Source organism: Homo sapiens, chromosome 2, assembly GCF_000001405.40.
Source record: "Homo sapiens chromosome 2, GRCh38.p14 Primary Assembly".
In the NCBI taxonomy this organism is placed as follows: domain Eukaryota; kingdom Metazoa; phylum Chordata; class Mammalia; order Primates; family Hominidae; genus Homo; species Homo sapiens.
Window position 1 is genome coordinate 29,600,745 of NC_000002.12, and position 19,801 is coordinate 29,620,545.

General features: G+C 44.8%; 1 protein-coding gene across 2 annotated transcripts in view, besides 1 other annotated feature; it reads right to left on the bottom strand.

Moving 5' to 3' along the window:
• ALK (ALK receptor tyrosine kinase) overlaps positions 1-19,801 on the bottom strand; it is a 728,813-nt gene that overhangs the window by 407,971 nt on the left and 301,041 nt on the right. The window lies entirely within an intron of this gene.
• Positions 3,741-4,290: an enhancer, noted in NCBI's record as "NANOG hESC enhancer chr2:29827351-29827900 (GRCh37/hg19 assembly coordinates)". NCBI's record gives its function as "activates a minimal SCP1, AML or CMV promoter by ChIP-STARR-seq in primed H9 embryonic stem cells {active_cell/tissue: H9 hESC(primed)}" and the evidence as "EXISTENCE:reporter gene assay evidence [ECO:0000049][PMID:30033119]".

The following is a 19,801-nucleotide window of genomic DNA, read 5'->3' on the forward strand; positions in this document are numbered from 1 at the left end:
GGACAGTCTGGGGACACGTTAAGAGTTGGGGCATAAACAGTAGAAGAGGTATGGTGTTGGTTGGTGGGTGGAGGAGTAGGAAGGAACCCAGGCCGTATTTCTGGAAATAGGCAGCTTAACTTGGAGGACCATGAAAGGGCTCAGTATTTCTACTGGGGGTTAGCAGCAAATTTCTTAACAGCCCAGCTCAGAGGGACACCCACCTAGGTGGAAAGGTGAGGACTGCTGGGTCACCAACTACACTGGGTTAAAGGTTTCAGAATTGGGTTGGTAGTCTATTTTATGATTCCTTTCTGGAAGTCCAAATAACCAGAACTGCATTTTCACACAGCTCTGCCTACATGCAGAGAAATTTGCTCTCTGATTCCCATTCTAGAAGAAGTTTCAAACTAGCCAATTCACAGCTTGGCAAATGGCCTCTGAAAGCAATACAGAAATATCAGGGAGTGAAGGGGCAAGAGAGCAGGAGCCTAGTGTTGCAGCAAGCCCCTAGACAGGTTCTAATACTTTACAAATATTAATTTAATACTTATCAAGACATTGGGCACGAGTTCTAGCTCCAGTCCTATTTAATGACTTGATTCTGGTGCCTCGGTTTCCCCATGTGTTCACAGGGGATAATCATGTGTCCTCTGCCTATCCTAAAGTATTAGGGTTATCTTGAGTATCAAATGCAAGGATATGAATGGAAGACTTTGTGAGCTGTGGCATGATTCCAGGGGAGGGGCCGGGGCTGTAACAAAGGGAAGCAGGTGCACACTGTGGCCTGGATACTAACGGCTCCATTAATCTTGGTGGAAGCATCAAGAGTACCAGTGGATTTTTTCTTCAGTGTCATGGCCACCCAGAGAGGACAGGGCAGAATTATGGTGCTCACTCAGCTTCTCTGAGTGTTCCATAGAGTGAAGTGAGCCGTGGGAAGAGTTCTCTGAAAAAACAAAAGCAGGCAGGAAAGTCATGCAAATGGGTACAGCGTGTATCCAGAGGAGTGATGCCGGGTTCAAGCAACTCAGAAACAGCACCTGGGCAGATTCAGCAGAGGGTCCAGACCTCGTCCTGGCATTCATTGTCAGGATGCCCCTTACCAGACTCAGAGGCCGAAGCTCATTGGCCTATCTGGATTAGGGGAGATAGAAACTCTGAGAGAAGCATGTTCAAGCTGGACAGAGATAGAGAGCCCCAGGCATGCCTCTGAGGACACCTGAAGGTGGGGGCGGGGGACAGGAACTCTACCAGCTCAGTGTCCTGAGGGTGTGAGTGCCTCAAGGGTTGGATGCAGATTTACTGGGAGGTTAAAAGGCTAACACCTAGTTTATATTACTAATTGCCTGTGGCACTACTGAGGCAACGGAAAGCTGAGCAAACTCGATATGAATCATATATTTTTGTTTTTTTCTTGATATTTTGCCAGCAGGATGGGATTTATCATTTTCCTGGGGAAAATGGCTTGACTTGTCCTTATTCTCACAGAACAAGCTTGGATGGTCACTCTTATGGCTCATTTGCCCCAGGGAGGCCCCAGACATATTCAGGATCCAACATGGACAGGCTTGGAGAAGAGATTCTGCTCATAGAATCCCAGCAGGGTCAGGCCTGGGGAGGACCCAAAAACCATCAAGTCCAGTGAGCTTTTTATGAAATCCTATTTTGAATGAACTCTTTAATATATAAGACAGACATGAGTAGGGCTGATCTGGTTAAAGAGGCTTGGAGTCCCACCAGGCCACCTGCTTGGAGACTCTTAATATATAAAATCTCTTAATTTTCCAGTTTAGCAAGGATTAAGTGATGTGTCTAGCATTACCTAACAAGGTGGTGGTAGAACAAGATCTGGAAACCACAATGCCTGACTACCAGACACAGAGGGTCCTGTTTGCTTGATAATGTCACCACCCCTCACCTGCCTCCCTCAGGGGAGGTACAACAATGACAAAGATCAGGTTAAAGAGTCCTGAACCTCTGCAAAAATACATAATGATGCTAAAGAAGGTGGAAGGACTATAGCTGGACAATAGAGGCTACCACATTTGGAGGTGAGTTTGTTGATGAAAAAGCCAAGTTCTATAAAAATATTTGAAACTGTATTCCGAGCCAGATGTGAAGACCATGACCTGTGACACAGCCTCAGGAGATCCTGAGAACATGTGCCCAAGGTGGTTGGCTACAGCTTAGTTGGCATACATATTAAGGGGACATAAGACATCAATCAATACACGTAAGATATACATTGATTCTGTCTGGAAAGGCAGGACAACTTGAAGTGGGGGCTTGCAGGTCAGAGGTAGATTCAAAGATTTTCTGATTGGCAATTTGTCGACAGAGTTAAGTTATTTATTATCCAAAGACTTGGAATCAATAGAAAGGCACGTCTGGGTTAAGATAAGGGGTTACAGAGACCAAGGTTCTTATTATGAAGATGAAGTCTCATAGGTGGCCACTCATAGAAGCAATAGATCGCAAATGTTTCCTATTCAGACCTTTAAAAGGTACCTGAGTTTCAGCTAATCTTGTCAGGATCAGAAAAATACGTAGACAGGGAAGGGGATTCTCTACCAAATGTAAATTTCCCCCACAAGAGACAGCTCTGCAGGTCCATTTCAAAATATGTCACAGAAATATATTTTGGGGTAAAATACTTGGATTTCTTTCAGGGCCTGCTCTCTGTCATGTGATGCTACACTAGAGTCAGGCTGGAAGTTAGTATCTTATTACTACAAAGAGTCTGTTTTGTCAGCCTTCAGGTCTCTGTTTTCATGTTAATGCCAGTTAGTTGTGCCTGCATTCCAAAGGAAGGAGAGTATCATGAGGCATGACTGACCCCCTCCTTCCCATCATGGTCTGAACTAGTTTTTTTTAGGCTTCCTTGGAAGCCCCCTTGGCCAAGGGGAGGGGTGCATTCAGTCGGTTGGGTGGCTCAGAATTTTGTTTTTGGTTTACCAGTTCATCCCTCACACTTGGCCCAGCAAGCTCAGCACCATTCAGTCTCTCTGGAAACATCCTGAAGCACTGGTAGGTCAGTGATGAAGGATAGAAACCATCCCTCAGTTTATCAGTTTGAGCTTATGATTCCCCCTATGCCTGGGATACTTCCTTTTCTATCCACTCTTTCCTGGCTAAATCCTTAAATCTTTGCACCCACTTGACTTGCCAATTCTCCAATTTAAACGATGTTTTCCTGTAATGATTCCTAATGAGACCCTTTTTTTTCCTTCCTATGCAATTGGTGATTACATGAAAAACTCTTCAAATTATTTAGTATCCACTTCTCCCATAAGTAAGTACCACAAGGCTAGGATCAAGTTAAATGTGGTCACCTCTGTATACTCAGGGTCTAGCACAGGGTGGGCAAATTACAATCTGTAGATCAAATCTGGCCCACTACCTATTTTTGTATAACTCAAGAGCTGAGAATAGAGAAGTTTTTTTTTTTTTTTTTTACAGTTTTTAACTGTTGGAAAGAAATCAAAAAGAGAATATTTTATGACGTGAGGATTACGTGAAATTCAAATTTCGGTGTTCATAAGTAAGGTTTTGTTGGATGACAGGCATGTTCATTCATTTACGTATGGTCTATGGCCCTTTCGTGTTACAATGGCAGAGTCGAGTAGTTACAACAGAAAAAAGAAGCAGAGAAGGGCCATGCTGAAGTTCACACATGTGTCAGGGATTACACTCAGATCTTTCAAACTCCTGCAGAGTTTTTACTTATTGAATTTCTCCAAACTGGCAACAAAGACAGCAAAACTCATGGCCCAGAATCTAACCTGGTCCCCTCAGCAGGTTTTCTAGGTATCTGGGATAGGTAAATATCCTGAGGACATGGGATAAAAGATGCTTTGTTAAAAGCCACTTTGAACACCTCCCTGAGAAAAGACATTTAAAAGATAAAAGGGAAAAGAGGTCTGATGTGTCCTGTTTGTGCCAAAGTTGAGTTTGGTTTCCATTCCATTATAAAATGCAACAACCCTAGGAGTTTCATGTTCTGGCACCACATTGCTCTTTCAGATCTTGCTTTGTTCTGCTCACATCTCTGACACAGGAACAAAGCCACAAGCCTATGCAGACAGTTGTCTCTGGATTAGAGTGCCTTGTTTCAGCTCACCCTGCTCAAACCAGAGCTATACAAAGGTGGCATTGGTGTTAACTCTTGTCTCTTAAAAGTTGGTGAATCCTCTCTTCAATCATTCCTGTTGGGATATTCTGACATATTTCACTCCAGCCAATAAATATAGGTGATATTTAATGACAGTGGGGGCCAGCGCAATAGTAGGACACTATGTGAAAGCAATAATCTACAGTCTAAAGAAAACCATGCTTGAGTGGATTACTTCAGTTTCAAAAGTCAGTAGTCCCCTACCTTTTTGGCATCAGGAACCGGTTTCGTGGAAGACAGTTTTTCCACGGACAGGGGGGTGGGTAGCGATTACGTTCTCATAAGGAGTGTGCAACTAAATCCCCTGAATGTGCGGTGCACGATAGGGTTCACGCTTCTATGAGAATTTAATGCCACCACTGATCTGACAGGAGGTGGAGCTCAGGTGGTAACGCTTCCTTGCTCGCTACTCACCTCCTGCTGCTGCGGCCCGATTCCTAACAGGAACCAGTATCGGTCCATGGCCTTGGGGTTGTGGAGGCCTGTCATAAATGACCAGGATTGAAAGGGGCCTTAAAAAGTTATCCCACTGCTATAGACTAAATGTTCAAAATTCATAGGTTGAAATTCTAACCCCCAGTGTGATAGCATTTGGAGGCGGGGCCTTTGGGAGATAGATGACTTAGATGAAGTCACGAAAGGTGGGGCCCTCATAATGGGATTAGTGTTTTTATAAGAAGACAAAGGGAGACCAGAGCTTTGTCTCTTTCTTCCACGTGATCACCTGGCAAGAAGGTGGCCGTCTACGAGCCAGGAAGAAGGCCCTCACCAGAAACCGGCCATGTGAGCACCCTGATCTTGAATGTCTTTGCCTCCAGAACTATGAGAAATCAATGTATGTTGTTTAAGCCACCCAGTATATGATACTTGGTTGGAGCAGACCCAGTGAAGGCACCAGCTTACTGGCACATCTGAATTGTGAGTGTTCCTTCTGTAGCCTCTACCTGAAGGCTCACATGGAATGCTGCCTCCCCACCCCTCTGACAAAATCAAAGTGACTCCTGCTTATCAGCTGAAATTTGCTCCCTGTAAGTTCAACCTGATGGTCTTGGTTCCATCCCTTGGGTCCCAAAGAAAAAAATCTTCATTTCCTTTCCATGAAAAAGCCCCACTACCATCCTTCCACCTCCCACCCCCACTGCCACCTCCCCATAACCTCACAAGTGCTCTTTTATTCAGATCCAATAGGCAAATATTTTCTAATCACTCTTCATGTGCTATGGTTCCAAGACTCATTTTTTCACAAAAGCTTTCAACAGGGACAATAAGCAGCCAACATGGCAGGCATTCACTTCATTTCCCCTCCCCTGTCTCCCTCACAGAAATCAGGAAATGAGGAGGTACACTTAAGCAAAAGGCCTACTGGATAAGCCACAATCTGGATGATTCAGAGTTATTTTCAGTTTGGACCCAAACAGTTTTATAAAAATGGCAAAGAAGCTGGATACCTCTGGTGTGAATCATGAGGAAAAGGGCAGGGCCCCAGAAAAGAAATGGGATCTACATGGGCCATTCTAGGTCTCAGACCTTTGTGCTAAATTGCAAAGAATTTAAGCGTATTTGAGAGTGCTCCTAAGTGAAAGGTAAAGAAAAATAGCCCCTGCCAAAGAGAGGTAAGTAGGAACTTGGCATCCCTGTGGACAGACCTGGGTGTCTCTGCAGGAAGATGAGCTCATCTCTTCAGGCAGATTATCTGGTTCAATGGTTGGCAAACTACTATGGCTTTCAGGCCTAATCTGGCCCATTGCCTGTTTTTGTAAATAAAGTTTTATTGAAACAAAGCCATGCCCATCTGTTCACCTATTGTCTATGGTTGTTTTTGTGCTAGAATGGCAGGCTTCAGTAGTTGCAACAGAGACAATGGCTCACAAAATCTAAGATATTTGTATCTGACTCTACAGAAAAGTCTGCCAACCCCTGATCTTGTTCACTCTTTCCTGTATTGTATGCCTTGCAACACTAGTCCCCTGTCATACTTCCCCAAATGTGGTGGGAAAAATCCTCACACTAGTTGCCCCTCTTAGAAATACACAGTGCTCACCAGCCTTTAAAGCCTCCAAGAAGTCTTGCAGCCATGCATCTGCTTTCCTTTTTTTAACTCAGCAGTCCTTAAACTCACCTGACCTATCAGCATTCCACAGAGCATGGGGAGCACAGGCAGTGAAACACCAATCTTGTTGCTTATTACTGTTCTTTGAATTGATTTTCTATTGTTTTTTCTAAGCCTGTAGACAGGCCTTACTTAGATTTTCAAGTTTAGTGACAGTTTTGCTGATGATATCTGAGGGAGGGCTGTGGTTTCCCCTTAAGCCAGGGTAGGAGAGGCGAGTAGTGCTTTCCTCCTTGACGGGCGTGGTAATAACAGAAGTGGGGAGAACTGCAGCGGGCAGAGGATTTTCCCTCCAATGTCATCATACTTTCTCTCCTTACTGGATCATCTCTCTAAGCATAGAAATAGAGCATCTTTTACTTTAAGAAAATCACATTCCTATCCAGCTACCTCCCACCCATTTCTGCTGACATTTGCAATAGAACTCCTCTAAAGCACTGTCAATATACATTTCCTCCAATCTCCTTCCCATCCTCTCTTGAACCCACTCTAGTCAGGCTTTCTCCCTCACCACTCCCCCGAAATGGCTCTTGTCAAGGTCATTATGACCTCCAGATAGCTAAAACCAATAGTCAAGGCTCAGCTTCTGCTGCAGTCAAAATATCTGCAGCATTCTACACAGAAAATGACCTTCCTCTTCCAAGCATCTCTTCTCTTGGCTTCTGGGACCCCACTCTCTCAGTTCTCCTTCTACCTCCCTCTCAGCCACTGTACGGGTTCCTCTCACCTCCTTGACCTATGACTGTTGGATGCCTCAAAGCCTTCTTGGAATGATTTTTTTCTTACCTACACTTTCTCTGGTCATCTCATCCTGTCTCGTGGCTTTAATACCAAGCACCTGCTAGCAACTCCCACATTTCTTTCTTTTTTTTTTCAATCTCAGTAGACCTTCACCTGTAGTAAGTCTTATAAAAATAATTACAGCAATTTGCCAACATAATCGTGATTGCATCTCTTTTTTACAAAGGCTTTTATTTTAAGTTTAGGGGTATGTGTGCAAGTTTGTTACACAGGTAAACCACATTTCTATTGCTTTGTCTGGAATGCTCTCTCCCCAGAAATCCATGTGGCTTACTTCTTTCATGTTTCTGCTCAAATATCACATTAGTGAGGTTCTCTCTGACAACTCTCTATAAATATATGTATAAAGAACACCCGCATGCCACACCTGCCTCCCAGTGCTCCCTTGCCATGCTTTCTTTTCTTCCTACCACCTATTACCATTTGATATATTCTCTACATCTGCTTATATTTGTTAGCTGTCTGTCTTCCCTCACTAGAACATATGCTTCATGAAGGCAGGGAATATTTTGTTCTTGGCTGCAATTCCAGGGCCTACAGTCCTGCAAGACACATAGTAGACACTCAGCAAATATTTTAGGATGGATGAACAGAGGTGTGAGTTGTCTGACATAGGGTTCTAGAGTTCATCATGATTTCATAGCTGATGGATCTAAGATTGTGTCTTCTTGTCCTAAATCACATGGCTTGTTAGTGGCAGAGCTGACATCAGACACCTGGTCATTTGTTGAGTCTCTCCTAAGTTCCAGGCACTGTAATGAACCGTGTGGACATAGGCGCCATTTCTGCTGTCATGGAGATTTTCAGTGAAGACTGACTTTGAATGGACGATGCTTGCTCCTTGACCTCTAGACCAGGCTCTTTCTATCATAATGTTTCCACCGTCCTAATGACCAGTTGTGACCAAGAAGATGTTTGTCCTTAAATAGCCACCATTCCCTCCTGAGGCATAAATCTTAGACAGAGGACTTCTGCAGCAGGAAAGAAATTTACCCTTCACATTTAAGGCAACTTTCTCAGCTCTCCACAGTATGACTGTTAAGAGCTGGGTATCTTGGGTGGTTTGTGAGGTGTCCCAGTACCTACTGGCTGGTCTCTCATAATTCCATTTCCAGTTTTGTTTTGTTTTGTTTTGAGACAGAGTCTTGCTCTGTCATTCAGGCTGGGTGCAGTGGCATGATCTTGGCTCACTGCAACCTCCACCTGCTGGGTTCCAGTGATTCTTGTGCCTCAGCCTCTCAAGTAGCTGAGATGACAGGCACACACCACCATGCCTGGCTAAGTTTTGTATTTTTAGTAGAGATAGAGTTTCACCATATTGGCCAGCCTGGTCTTGAACTCCTGGCCTCAAACAATCTGCCTGCCTCGGCCTCCCAGAGTGCTGGGATTACAGGTGTGAGCCACCATGCCCAGACTATTTCCAGTTTTTAATGCCTGTGCCTTATCTGGGTGAATAGTTGTTTTTTTGTGTGTGGTTTTTTTTCTTTTGTCCACTCTCTCTGGTGCCCATTCCAAAGTGTTGCAAGCCTGCCCTTCCATGCTGAGAAGATTTCATTATGTGATAGCAAGTCGGGAGAGGCAGGGGCTCTGTGACAACTCTACCCAATCCTGGTGGCCCACAGAAGAGAAATATTAAGAGCTTTTGTTTAGAGGTCTTCTCTCACTCATCTACACATCCAAAATTAATAAAATTTTAGAATCCAGAATATTAGATTTGGATGGGATCTCAAATGGCATATTGTCTCACCATGTTGCACCAATGCAGTGATCCCTGAAACATCTGTGACATGTGAGTCACCTTCACTTGGTGCTTTTTATCAACAGAACATATTTACATTTTTTTTTTTTTTTCAGATACAGGGTCTTGCTCTGTCACCCAGGTTGAAGTGCAATAGCACAATAACAGCTCACTATAGCTTTGAACTTCTGGGCTCAAGCAATTCTCCCACCTCAGCCTCCTGAGTAGCTGGGACTACAGGCACAAGCCACCACACTTGGCTAGTTTTAATCTTTTGTAGGGATGAGATCTCACTGTGTTGCCCAGGCTGGTCTTGAACTCCTGGCCTCAAGTGACCTTCCCAATGCAGTCCCACCAAGTGCTGGGATTATGAGCATGAGCCACTGCACCTGGCCTAGATTTACTCTCATACAATTTTCCTTAGGTTGAGATAAAACCAACCTCCCTAAAGCTTCCACACATTGGCCCTGGTTTTGTCCTTGACACCTATTTTGAGTAAATCTCATCGTTCACTTAATTATCAGGTCTTCCAGTAGGCCTGTGAACCCAGAAAAGAGCATTTAGTCCATTCATGTTGGATATAAGTACCAGCATAACTTTGTTGGCTATTAAAGCAAACAGATGTTTGTAAATCTTTGTTATTTCACATGCTGCAACAGGAGTACCAAGCGACAGTTGCCATTACCAGCGTATGGATGGGGAAACCAAGGCATATGGATGGCTGATGACTTGCTGTTGGCTCAGTGGACAAATGATTCCCGGCTGCTTGTCCTTTGCTCTGACTTGGACTCCTTAATGTATTGCATACTCCAGAGAAAGCTATTATAATAATGGCTCCAAGAACATTAGAATTTCTATTATTGAGAAAGATGCACTTTCATTTAAAGGGTTTCATTCGTCTTAAATGAGTTCTACTTTCTGCTTTCCTTTCATTCGAATCCCATGTTTATTATTTCTGCTCCACGGCTGGCCTGATAAATCTGAAATTCCACTCACACCAGCCAGCAAACTCGATTCCAAGCAGCGGCAGATAGGAGAACTTGGTCTGTTGGAGACAAAGGTTTCTCTCCAGTTTGGTCAGCAAGTTGGATTTAAACTGACAAGATCATAGCTCTACAAAAATAAGATCTATTAATTGTCCTGTGAAAGGAAAAGGTCACTGGACAAATGTTACTCTGTATCTCATTTTACAGCTAGAGTCTGGGCATCCGCATCAAATCATTTCTCTGTAACTAGATTCTGCTTCTCAACAATAATTAAAAAAATGACTCCGGATAAGATCATGTCCTAGTTCTGCTTGTGAGTTTTGTCACTTGAATACATTTCACTTATGCTGAAATCAGCCTGGAGTTGCTGACACTGTACTTCCTCTAGGACCCCACTGAAAAATGTATGAGAGGTGTCTGGGATCATTAATTGATTCTCCCAGATCCCCTTTGTTGCCTACTTCTCAGACTTTGGCTCCAAAAGTAGAACAGAAGTTTCTCTAATGTGACCTAGGTCACTAACACCAAAAGAGTGTGGGAGAGGGACAGGCATGGGAATGTTGCCCATCAGACCAAATGTGATACCCCTGGGAATCAAATGTGATTTGGGGGTTCCATGCTGAAGTCACCAGGGATGGCTGGGCTGCAGGGGAACAGCCACAGACAGCATCTTGGCCAGAGTGATAGGCATTATTTGGGTGGATGGTGTGGGACAGCACAAAGGGAAAGGAGGCTACAGAGAAGAACTTTCTCTGGCTCTCCTTAAGGTAAGTGGGCAGAACCGACAGTGCATCAGCTCCTTAGGCTGGTAGGAGCATATTTTCAGACTCAGCAAACATTTACTATCTACTATGTGCCCATCAAAAAGTAAACACTTTCATAAACAGTACATATAATTCTCACTACAACCCTGTGAGATAGGTAGAGTTTTAAATCCCTGGCTTTCCGTGTGCTTGTTTGTTTGCTGTTAACAGTTACATGAAATGGTTATGTCAACCATCTGAACTCTTACCTTAAGGAAAGAGGAGGTTATATAAATAAATGATATGGCTTGGCTCTGTGTCCCCACCCAAATCTCATCTTGAAATGTAATCCCCACAGTTAGGGGGAGGGGCCTAGTGGGAGGTGATTGGATCGTGGGCATGGGCTTCCTTCCCCCTTGCTGTTCTTGTGATAGTGAGTGAACTCTCAGGAGATCTGGTTGTTTGAAGGTGTGTGGCACTTCCCCCTTCGCTCTATCTCTCTGTCTCCTGCCACAGGTGTTTGCTTCCCCTTTGTATCCACCATGATTGTAAGTTTCCTGAGGTCTGGCAGTCATGCTTCCTGTGAAGCCTGCAGAGCTGTGAGTCAAATATACCCTTTTTCTTCGTAAATTACCAGTCTCGGGTAGTTCTTTATATACAGCAGTGTGAAAACAGACTAATACAATAAATAAACAAAGAGACAGACAAACAGGTTCTTTCTCTACGGTATCAATGCCAGGAACACCTTATAGGAACAGATCCAGACAGGGTGACTCGCTCACCAGCTCAGGGCCTGGAAGTGGCCGACTTGGGACTTGACACCAGGGTGTGCAACAGAACCCAGGCTTCCTCCCTTCCCCCTCCCACTGCCTTCAATGTTAATGGCCTGTTCAATGCCTTTGTGCTTCTGAGACAGATACCTTTGCAGTTGCCATCTCAGTAGTGTGCTAATAGCATCTCTGATTTTGAAAATGAAAAAGTTTAAAAAATTAAGCCTTTCTAAATATAATTTGCACGTCTTCCCCTCCTGTGCTTTTAGCTGTGTGTGTTGTTTTTAAAGTCTTTATCTGGGTGATTATTAAAGTCCCTGGTAGGTTGCATTTTACTCTGCTTCCTTGGTTTCAATCATCCCTGGAGTTATTTCTACGTTTCAGGGTTCCATGCTGAAGATAAATGTAGAAATTCTACTTCAAACATGGACAATTTCTCTCTGTTTCCAAAGTGATCATGAGGTCAACTAATGCTCAGCTAAGGAGGAACCGTCCTACCCAGAAGAGAGTTCTCCCTTGAGGTCATTCACTTTCCAATCAATGCTCCCGAATTCCCCCAAAACTTACTGAAACTTCTCTCTCTTTTCACCTGGCCCCTAGCCCTGAACGATCGCCCTCCTGTTGAGGAGTCTGTGATGGCAACATCTCCAGGTAGTTTAGCTCATGAAGGGGGTGCTGGGAGTGGGGATGGGAAAATGGGAGCTTCAGGATGTTTATTAAGTGCTGGACTGTTAATGTCAGTGAAGAGGTGACAGAAAGAGGCAGCTGTGCCCATCCTGCAGGGAGTCAGTGATGCTGTCTTCCCTCCTGTCTTGCTGTAGTACCTTCGGAATTTTAGAGTTCCAGACTACATAACACCTTCAGAACAATTCCAGAACAGTTTGGGAAGAAAGGAATCAAAACAAAAAATAAAGTAGGAACCATGACCTCCTCTCACTCCAGGCATACACACACCACGGGGGGTCTGAGTACAAAAGCAAAGGCACAATATCAAACATGAGTTTTGTCAGAGAGGAAAAATGTTGAGAACAAATTCATGAATTCTAGTCCTATTTACATTTCAATCCCCAAACTAATTGTTTACTCATAAGTGTTCTGTCATGATTGTGGTCATTGGTAGCTTTCTGTAAATAAACCTAAAAAACTTTATTATCCCAAATTATTTTTCGAATGCCTGAGCCACAAAGAAGCCGAGAGCTAAATTTAGTGCTCAACTGCAATAATCAATTTATCCCAGATGACTGGCATTTCTCATTCTCTTCTCCTTTTAATTAGTCTTGGCTTTCCTTCCATTTTTAATTGTCCAGGTTTATTTGAGATTTAACATAATAAACTACCTCAATCCCTTTTGCATTTCTCTTCGGGAAATTAAATTAGCTAACATTTTCAGATGTTGACTCTTCCTTCCAAGGCATAAGCCCTTCCTTTAAAAAATCAGCTTTGGAAACACAAGTATCAATAGAAACACAGTTCAATGGCTTGGGCACTGTTCTTCCTTGTTGCGGACCTCAGCTGACATGCAGTCTTTAGCCAGGGCGTATGTCACACAGGTACACAAGCACTTCACACATCTATATCTCTTTCATGAAGAAAGTGAAACCTTGTTCTCCATGGAATGGAAATCTTAAACACTAGGTAGAGCACTGATGAGTTCAGTGTTTCTTCACAATAAATACACAGCATTTTATACCATAAAACGAATTTGTACTGTCTGAACAAAATGGCTTTACATACTGCCAGATGTGATTATCAAGATTGATTTTCTCCTGCCCTGTGGTAACCAGGTTACTTAGCTTTGCAGATTCAGCTGGTCTTGCTTTTCCCTCTGGCTAAGTAGAGACAGATCCACTCCCAGCAAGTCAGGAAAAAGGGGGGGTTCTACAGCTCAGGGACTAATGGGCAATGAAACAGGAGCCAGTGTTTCCTACCCAAGCCATCGTCTCTCATCCTGCTTCCAATCAGCACTGATCCTGTCCAGACAGCCTTGTGTGACAGGAGACTCACCGGGGGCATCAGGACTCAGAGAAAGTGAGGAGGAGCTGGGGCAGAGTTCACCTCCCCCTACCGTTCCCCAGGCTCCTTTCCCTAGACCATGGCCCTGCTTCTCTCGGGTCCTCGGATGCCTGCTGACGAGGGCTGCCTGCCTCCCGAACCCTTAGTATCAACTCCTACAGCTAGTTCCAGTGGCGCTGGCATCAGTGGGACCTGGCTTCCAATCCCAGCTCTGCCACTTGCCAGCTCTGGATCATGTCGCCTCTCGAAAGTCCAGTTTGCTCAACAGGTAGAATAATCCTCACATCACTACTGAAAGTTTCACCTATTTCCAGTGCCTAGAACCATGGTAGGCCCTGTGAAAGGCTCTGCGGTTAGTTCCTTTCACTCTACTTTCCAGCCCCTGCCCTCCCAGGCTTGCTGAGCCTAGCTCCTTGCTCTAAGATTCCCCTCTCTGTAGACTGACAGCATGTTCCATCCACTCCAAATGATCTGGAGACCGACAAGAATTCTGTCTGTGACCAAACATTAATCAGGCTCATCTGAGCCCCACTAAGCCCCATGCTTGGGCAGGGCCTCCACGAGCCCAATTTCAGCAAGAATCCTGTCACGTCAATTTAGCCAGAATCCCCTACTCTTCATATCTGATTGAATTTCCCATCCTTCACCATCCCCCAGGTCATGTCTGATTACCCTGGCCTGCATGGCTCCTGTTGGGTCAGTTTGGCCAGAATCCCCCCATCCCTGATGTTTCTTCTTAGTAATTTTCTATACACAGACAACTTCCCCCTCCCCTGGTTTTTGGCTATCAATTCCCACTTTTTCTTGTTGGATTCTGAGTTGAGCACATTCTCCAGCCCGTATGGTGAAACCTCTGTTGCAGTCATCCGGAATAAACTCTGCCTTACAGTTCTTTAACAAGTATCATGGATAATTTTTTTAAGTTTTATTTATTCATTTTTTAAGAGACAGAGTCTTGCTATGTTGCCCAGGCTGGTCTTGAACTCCTGAACTCAAGCAATCCACCTGCCCCAACCTCCCGAAGTACTGGGCCTGCAGGCTTGAGCCACCGCACCCAGCCAATGCTTTTCTTTAACAAGACCTGGAGTATCTATGCTCTTGCTTGTGACTTTAAGGATGCTGTTCCCTCTTCTCCTCCTTCCTACTTGGTTACATGATATTTACTCTTCCAGATATCATGCCACCTCCTTTGTGAAATTTTCACTGGACAGCCCCCGCACCCCTGACTCTTGTCCTAGGGTAAAGCTAACCCCTCTTTCTTCTGTTCTTCTAGTGCAAAGCTCTGGCACCAGACTGTCTGGAGTCACATTCCAGCTCCACCTTTCTCTAATTGTTTACTTTGGGCAAATGGTTTAACCTGTCTGTGCTGTGGTTCCCTTGTTAAAAAATGAGGATAGCAATAATGCCTAGCTCATTGGCTTATAGCACTAACGCATTTATTCTGTTAAGTGCTTCGAGATAGTGTCGAACTCATAGTAAGTGCTTCAATACATTTAGCGTTATTATCAGAGCTCTTCTTATAGTTTATAGTTACTGTTGTTATCAATACTATTTGCCCTGTGCCCACTACTGACCCCACAATCCTTGACTGGGAGGATCCTTCATAGCAGGGATTGGGTCTTATTCATCTTTGCACTTTTCTTCTAATCTCACGTCACCATGGCACACAGTAGGTACTCAGCACTTTTGCTGATATCAGTAGGTCTAATGAAGGATTCTCTGCAGTTTTAATGTGCCCTCCAAGGCAGTTTATTTTAATAGGAGGCTTCAAATAGTGCTTGAGCTGCAAGGAATACCTTTTGCACTTCACCCCAGGAAGTCAAATTAGCTAATATTGAGGAGGATGAGGTAGACACCTCGGAACCCTCAGGCCTTTCAGTAGCTCTGAATCTCATTTAGTGTTTGGCTGCATCTCCTCTGCAGAGGCCAGGGCCTGGGCCCCTCCCACCTAAATGATTTCTACTCAAAGCCATTTTATTAAGTCAGGGATGGGGAGACCCAGACCCTGCTCTGGTGAGGCCGACATCTCTACAGCGGACCTCACGGAGTCACAGCCAGGCATATTATGTCACGAGACAGAGTATGGCCACAGCTCTCTGGGCATTAGAAAGGACACAGGAGAGGGAGCTCCTGCTTGGAACCCCCAGGAGCTTTCGGGAAAGAGGTGGCCTGTGAGTTGGGATTTGAAGATAGTCAGGGTTTCTACTGGCAGGATTAAGGGAAGGACAGCCTGGAAAGATGGGGAGGGATTATCAGCAGTGAATAAAGAGAGGGGAGGAAAAGGGCAGAGCCACCAGACGTGTTTGCTAAAACAAACCCTCAAATTCCCTATCTAGGAATTAAATGTAGGCTCAGGTTTTGAACTTGCTTAGAGCTCACAGTGGCAAGAGGAAGGAAGATTTACAATTTGAGAATCAAGGCGTCTGAAGAATTTGTAATCTGAGAGACCAAAACAGACGCCCCCTGATGAACTAAGACAGACACAAAGGTTAAGGGGAAAAGATTATCTATTGGCGAGGGCTCTGGACTCAGTGAGCATGGCAACCTCTGAAATTCTTACAGTTAAGAGAAAAATCACACCCTTCCTAAACTTTCTAACAGTAGGAGCCATCAGGCAAAATATCAGACTCCTCCTAACTCTGTCTTACAACCCAGACCACTACAACTCTGAATAGACAGAGGACTGGCCTTATAAACACTCTTTCCTGATAAGCATCTGTAGCCCTTAAGCCAGTTCCAGCAGCTCATAGAAACTGTAGGCAAACTGTGCCCTGTCATTCACCTTTTGCCCTAAAGAGCCAAATTCTACCTCATTTTAATGCTAAAGCCCTGCCCCAAAGTGAACATGGGATGTTTGTTACCTATGTGTTGGTCCATTGTGCATGTGCTTGACCCACCTCATAAATTTGTATGGCCTTCCTCCACACCTGGTGAATATGTACAGTGATATTCACCTGGTGAATATCTACTATGTGACACAGACCTTCTGAGGCATAAAACACAGCCCACCCTTCCCCTCTTTGAAAAGAAAGCACCTTAGGTCCATGCTGGAAACTGTCTCTTCTTGGTTTGCAAACTGATATCATCAATAAAGCTCTCCTTTCTACTATTTAGCCATCCTGATGGTCTTTTAGATGTCAAAGCTATGAGGAAATTACACCACACAGCCCCCCACTTCTTGTCTGTGTTGACCATTCTGGACACAGAAGCCTCTGCTCTTTTACAAACATCTCTGAAGGAAGGAGAGCTCCTCACAAAGCATCAGGAATCATTTAGTGGTGGGAAAGCTTTGTGCATGACGATCAGAGGACCCTGAAATCAAATCCACATCTCCCATCTGATCATCTGTAGGCCCTCGACAAGGGGCAAACCTTAGTTTCCTCTTCTATCACATTGAAATAAGCCTTCCTACTTCAGGGGATGGTGTGATAACTGCATTTCAGAGCATATAGTCCAGTGACTAGCACCTAGTGAGCACCCAGTGCTGACAAAGACTGTCTCAGGCTCCTCTGAGCCTTCCTCCTGACTTTGGCCCCTGTCCTGTCAGCTCAGTTTTAGTAACAATCCTGCTAAGCCAGTTTAGCAAGAAACCCCCCTTCCCTTGACCCACTCATCTGCTTCATAGCTATGAAACCCCACTTGTCCTTGCTGTATCGGGAGCACTATCTTCCCTACTATCTCCCCTACTGCAGTGGCCCCATTGTAACAGTCTTGAATGAAGTCTTCCTCGCCATTCTAACAAGTGTCAGAATAACTTCTCTAACAGTATGTGCATGTGACTATTGCCATCATCTTTCCTCTCTCCCAGGGATCAACAGACAGTGAAATTTTCTACCTAGTTCCTGGTTGGGAAGGCAGCACACCCATAGTCCTGTGATGACTCTTCTAGCACCACCGTTGGGCTGGGAGACCTGCCCTTGCACGATGACTCCAGGCAGGTACTTTGGGTTCTGCCTAGCACAGGGTCTGCCTGGCACATCCCTCCGTAGCTTTCCTTAGGATCAATGTGTTGAGCTGCCAAGGAGGGGTCAAGCCAGACCTTTAGAAGCTGCTCTTAGGTGCTGACCAACATTCACTCCAGTTCCAAGCAATCAAACCAGCCTTTTGTCAGGGAGAGGCCTCATCTTAGGAAACCAATGTTTCTGATCAAAGGTCAACCTCCAAATCCAATCCAGATGCAATTATAGTTGTGATTTAAGTACCAGAGTTGAGGTTCAAAGTCCAACTTTTTTTCCTGAAACAACTGACCTCTGCTTTGTGGCAAAAATGGTTGAGTGTCAGATGACTATAATACAATTTTAATTTAAGATCTAAAACTCGGTGCTACCTTCAAGTTGTCATCAGTTTGTCATTTTTTTTTTTTTGTTGACAAATTAAGGTGAGTGGGCAGGAGTGCTGTCATCTTCTTTCACCTCCATTTCAATGTCACTCTGTCCCTGAACCTACTTGCCCTTATACTGGTGGGGAGAGGGTCCCCTCCCTGTGCTCCCAACATGTCCACACCCCCATTTTTAGGATTCTAAGCCACTGTCCCTGACTCTGATTCTCTCCTCCCTAACCCCTGGTGCAAAGCTGCCCACGCTACAGACTAGGTGGCTACTACCCGTGATATGCAAAACCAATAAAAAATAAAAACACTTGGCCAGGTGCGGTGGCTCATGCCTGTAATCCTAGCACTTTGGGAGGCCAAGGCAGGTGGATTACCAGGTCAGGAGTTCAAGACCAGCCTGGCCAATATGCTGAAACCCCATCTCTACTAAAAATACAAAAATTAGCTGGGGGTGGTGGCGCACGCCTGTAATCCCAGCTACTTGGGAGGCTGAGGCAAAAGAATCCCTTGAACCTGGGAGGCGGAGGTTGCAGTGAGCTGAGATTGCGCCACTGCACTACAGCCTGGGCGACAAAGCGAGACTGCGTCTCAAAAAATAAATAAAAAATAAATAAAAAAAAAAAACACTTGAAAAATAGTTGTGTATTTATTTAATTAAATAAGTATTAAGAAAATGATTATATAACACAAGAAACCCATAATTTTGTGGATGTTATTGCTTTAGATGAGGTTAAATATTTAAGTTTAGCTAGCTGACTTGCAATAGTACCAAGTAACTGATCACAAGGGTGATCTGTGACATTGGAAACAATGGGTGGAAGTTGGGATGATCTTTGCACAGTGGAGAGCCCTGGACTGGCAAGCAAGAGTCTTTGCTCTATTTCTCACTTCCAGTATGGCCTTGAGATGTGCCTTAACCTCTCTAGGCCTCCTTGGGTATCATTGGTGCTTTCACGGAGCTGGCTCCTTTCCTGATTTCCAAATGTACTCAAGTTTCTCCAGTGTGGAAAATAAACCACCAATACCTGTTCTTTGAGCGTGTGAGCCCTCAGATCGAGCTCTCCTCTCCCTTCTCCCCTTTTCTGTGGGTGCCAGAGCTGAGGGTGTTGCCTTCCTTCTCTCTGCTCTCCCTGACAACACCATTGAAAGGGCCTCTTCAGTGTCACTGACGACTTCCCAAATAGCAAGCAGCACTGCCGGCCCTCAGCTTCTGGAACACCCTGACTTACACGGGCTTTGTGGACAGGACTGAGAACTTAGCCCCGATGGATCGTATGCTGTGTCCCAGGAAAATGGATTCTGTGTATCCAATGCCTCCTTGACAAAGAGACCCTCAGAAGCTATCTCCACCCATTTATATTTAAAACCCCTCCTGGGTTGTCAAACAATACATGACAAGGGTCCCTGGTCTGCTGCCCGCACTCAGCCCTGCTGCTGCCTTCTGACAATGGGAAGGATGGAGCGGTGCCAGGAGGCAGCCCCTGGGGCACTGGGATGTCATTATGGGCTGCATCAGGTGCCCATACCCACAGTGAGGGGCATCGAGCTAGGGCTGCCCAACTCTAGCAGCCCCGAGGGATGCCTAGGGAGAGTGAAGAAAAGCAGCTCAGGTTTCTGGGTTCATTACTTGGCTCTCCAGTAGACGTTCCAGCCTTGGACCAATGACCCCTTTCGTAATGCCTCAATCTCTTAATCTGCTAAGTGGCAATAATTAGTATTAAAAGTAGGAAAAACTTTGTATGAGTTTGTTAGGGCTACTGTAAGGAAATCCCATTCACTGGGTGGGCTTAAACAACACAACGGTGTTGCCTGGCAGTTCTGGATGCTGGAAGTCCAAAATCAAGGTGGTGGTTCCTTCAGAGGGCTGTGAGGGAAGGATCCATTCCAGGCCCTTCTCCCTGGTTTACAGATGGCTTCCCTCACGTTCACACGGTGTTCTTTCTGTGTGTGCCTGTGTCCAAATTTCCACCTCTTATAAGGATCTACCTTCCTCCAGTAGGACCACATCTTAACTAATTTCATTGGCAACAACCCTATTTTCAAATAAGAGCATATTATGAGGTACTGGGGGTGAGGACCTCAACATATACTTTTCTCTTTTTTTTTGCGGGGTGGGGGGGTGGTGGGTGGGCACAATTTAACCTATAACGGAGCTGA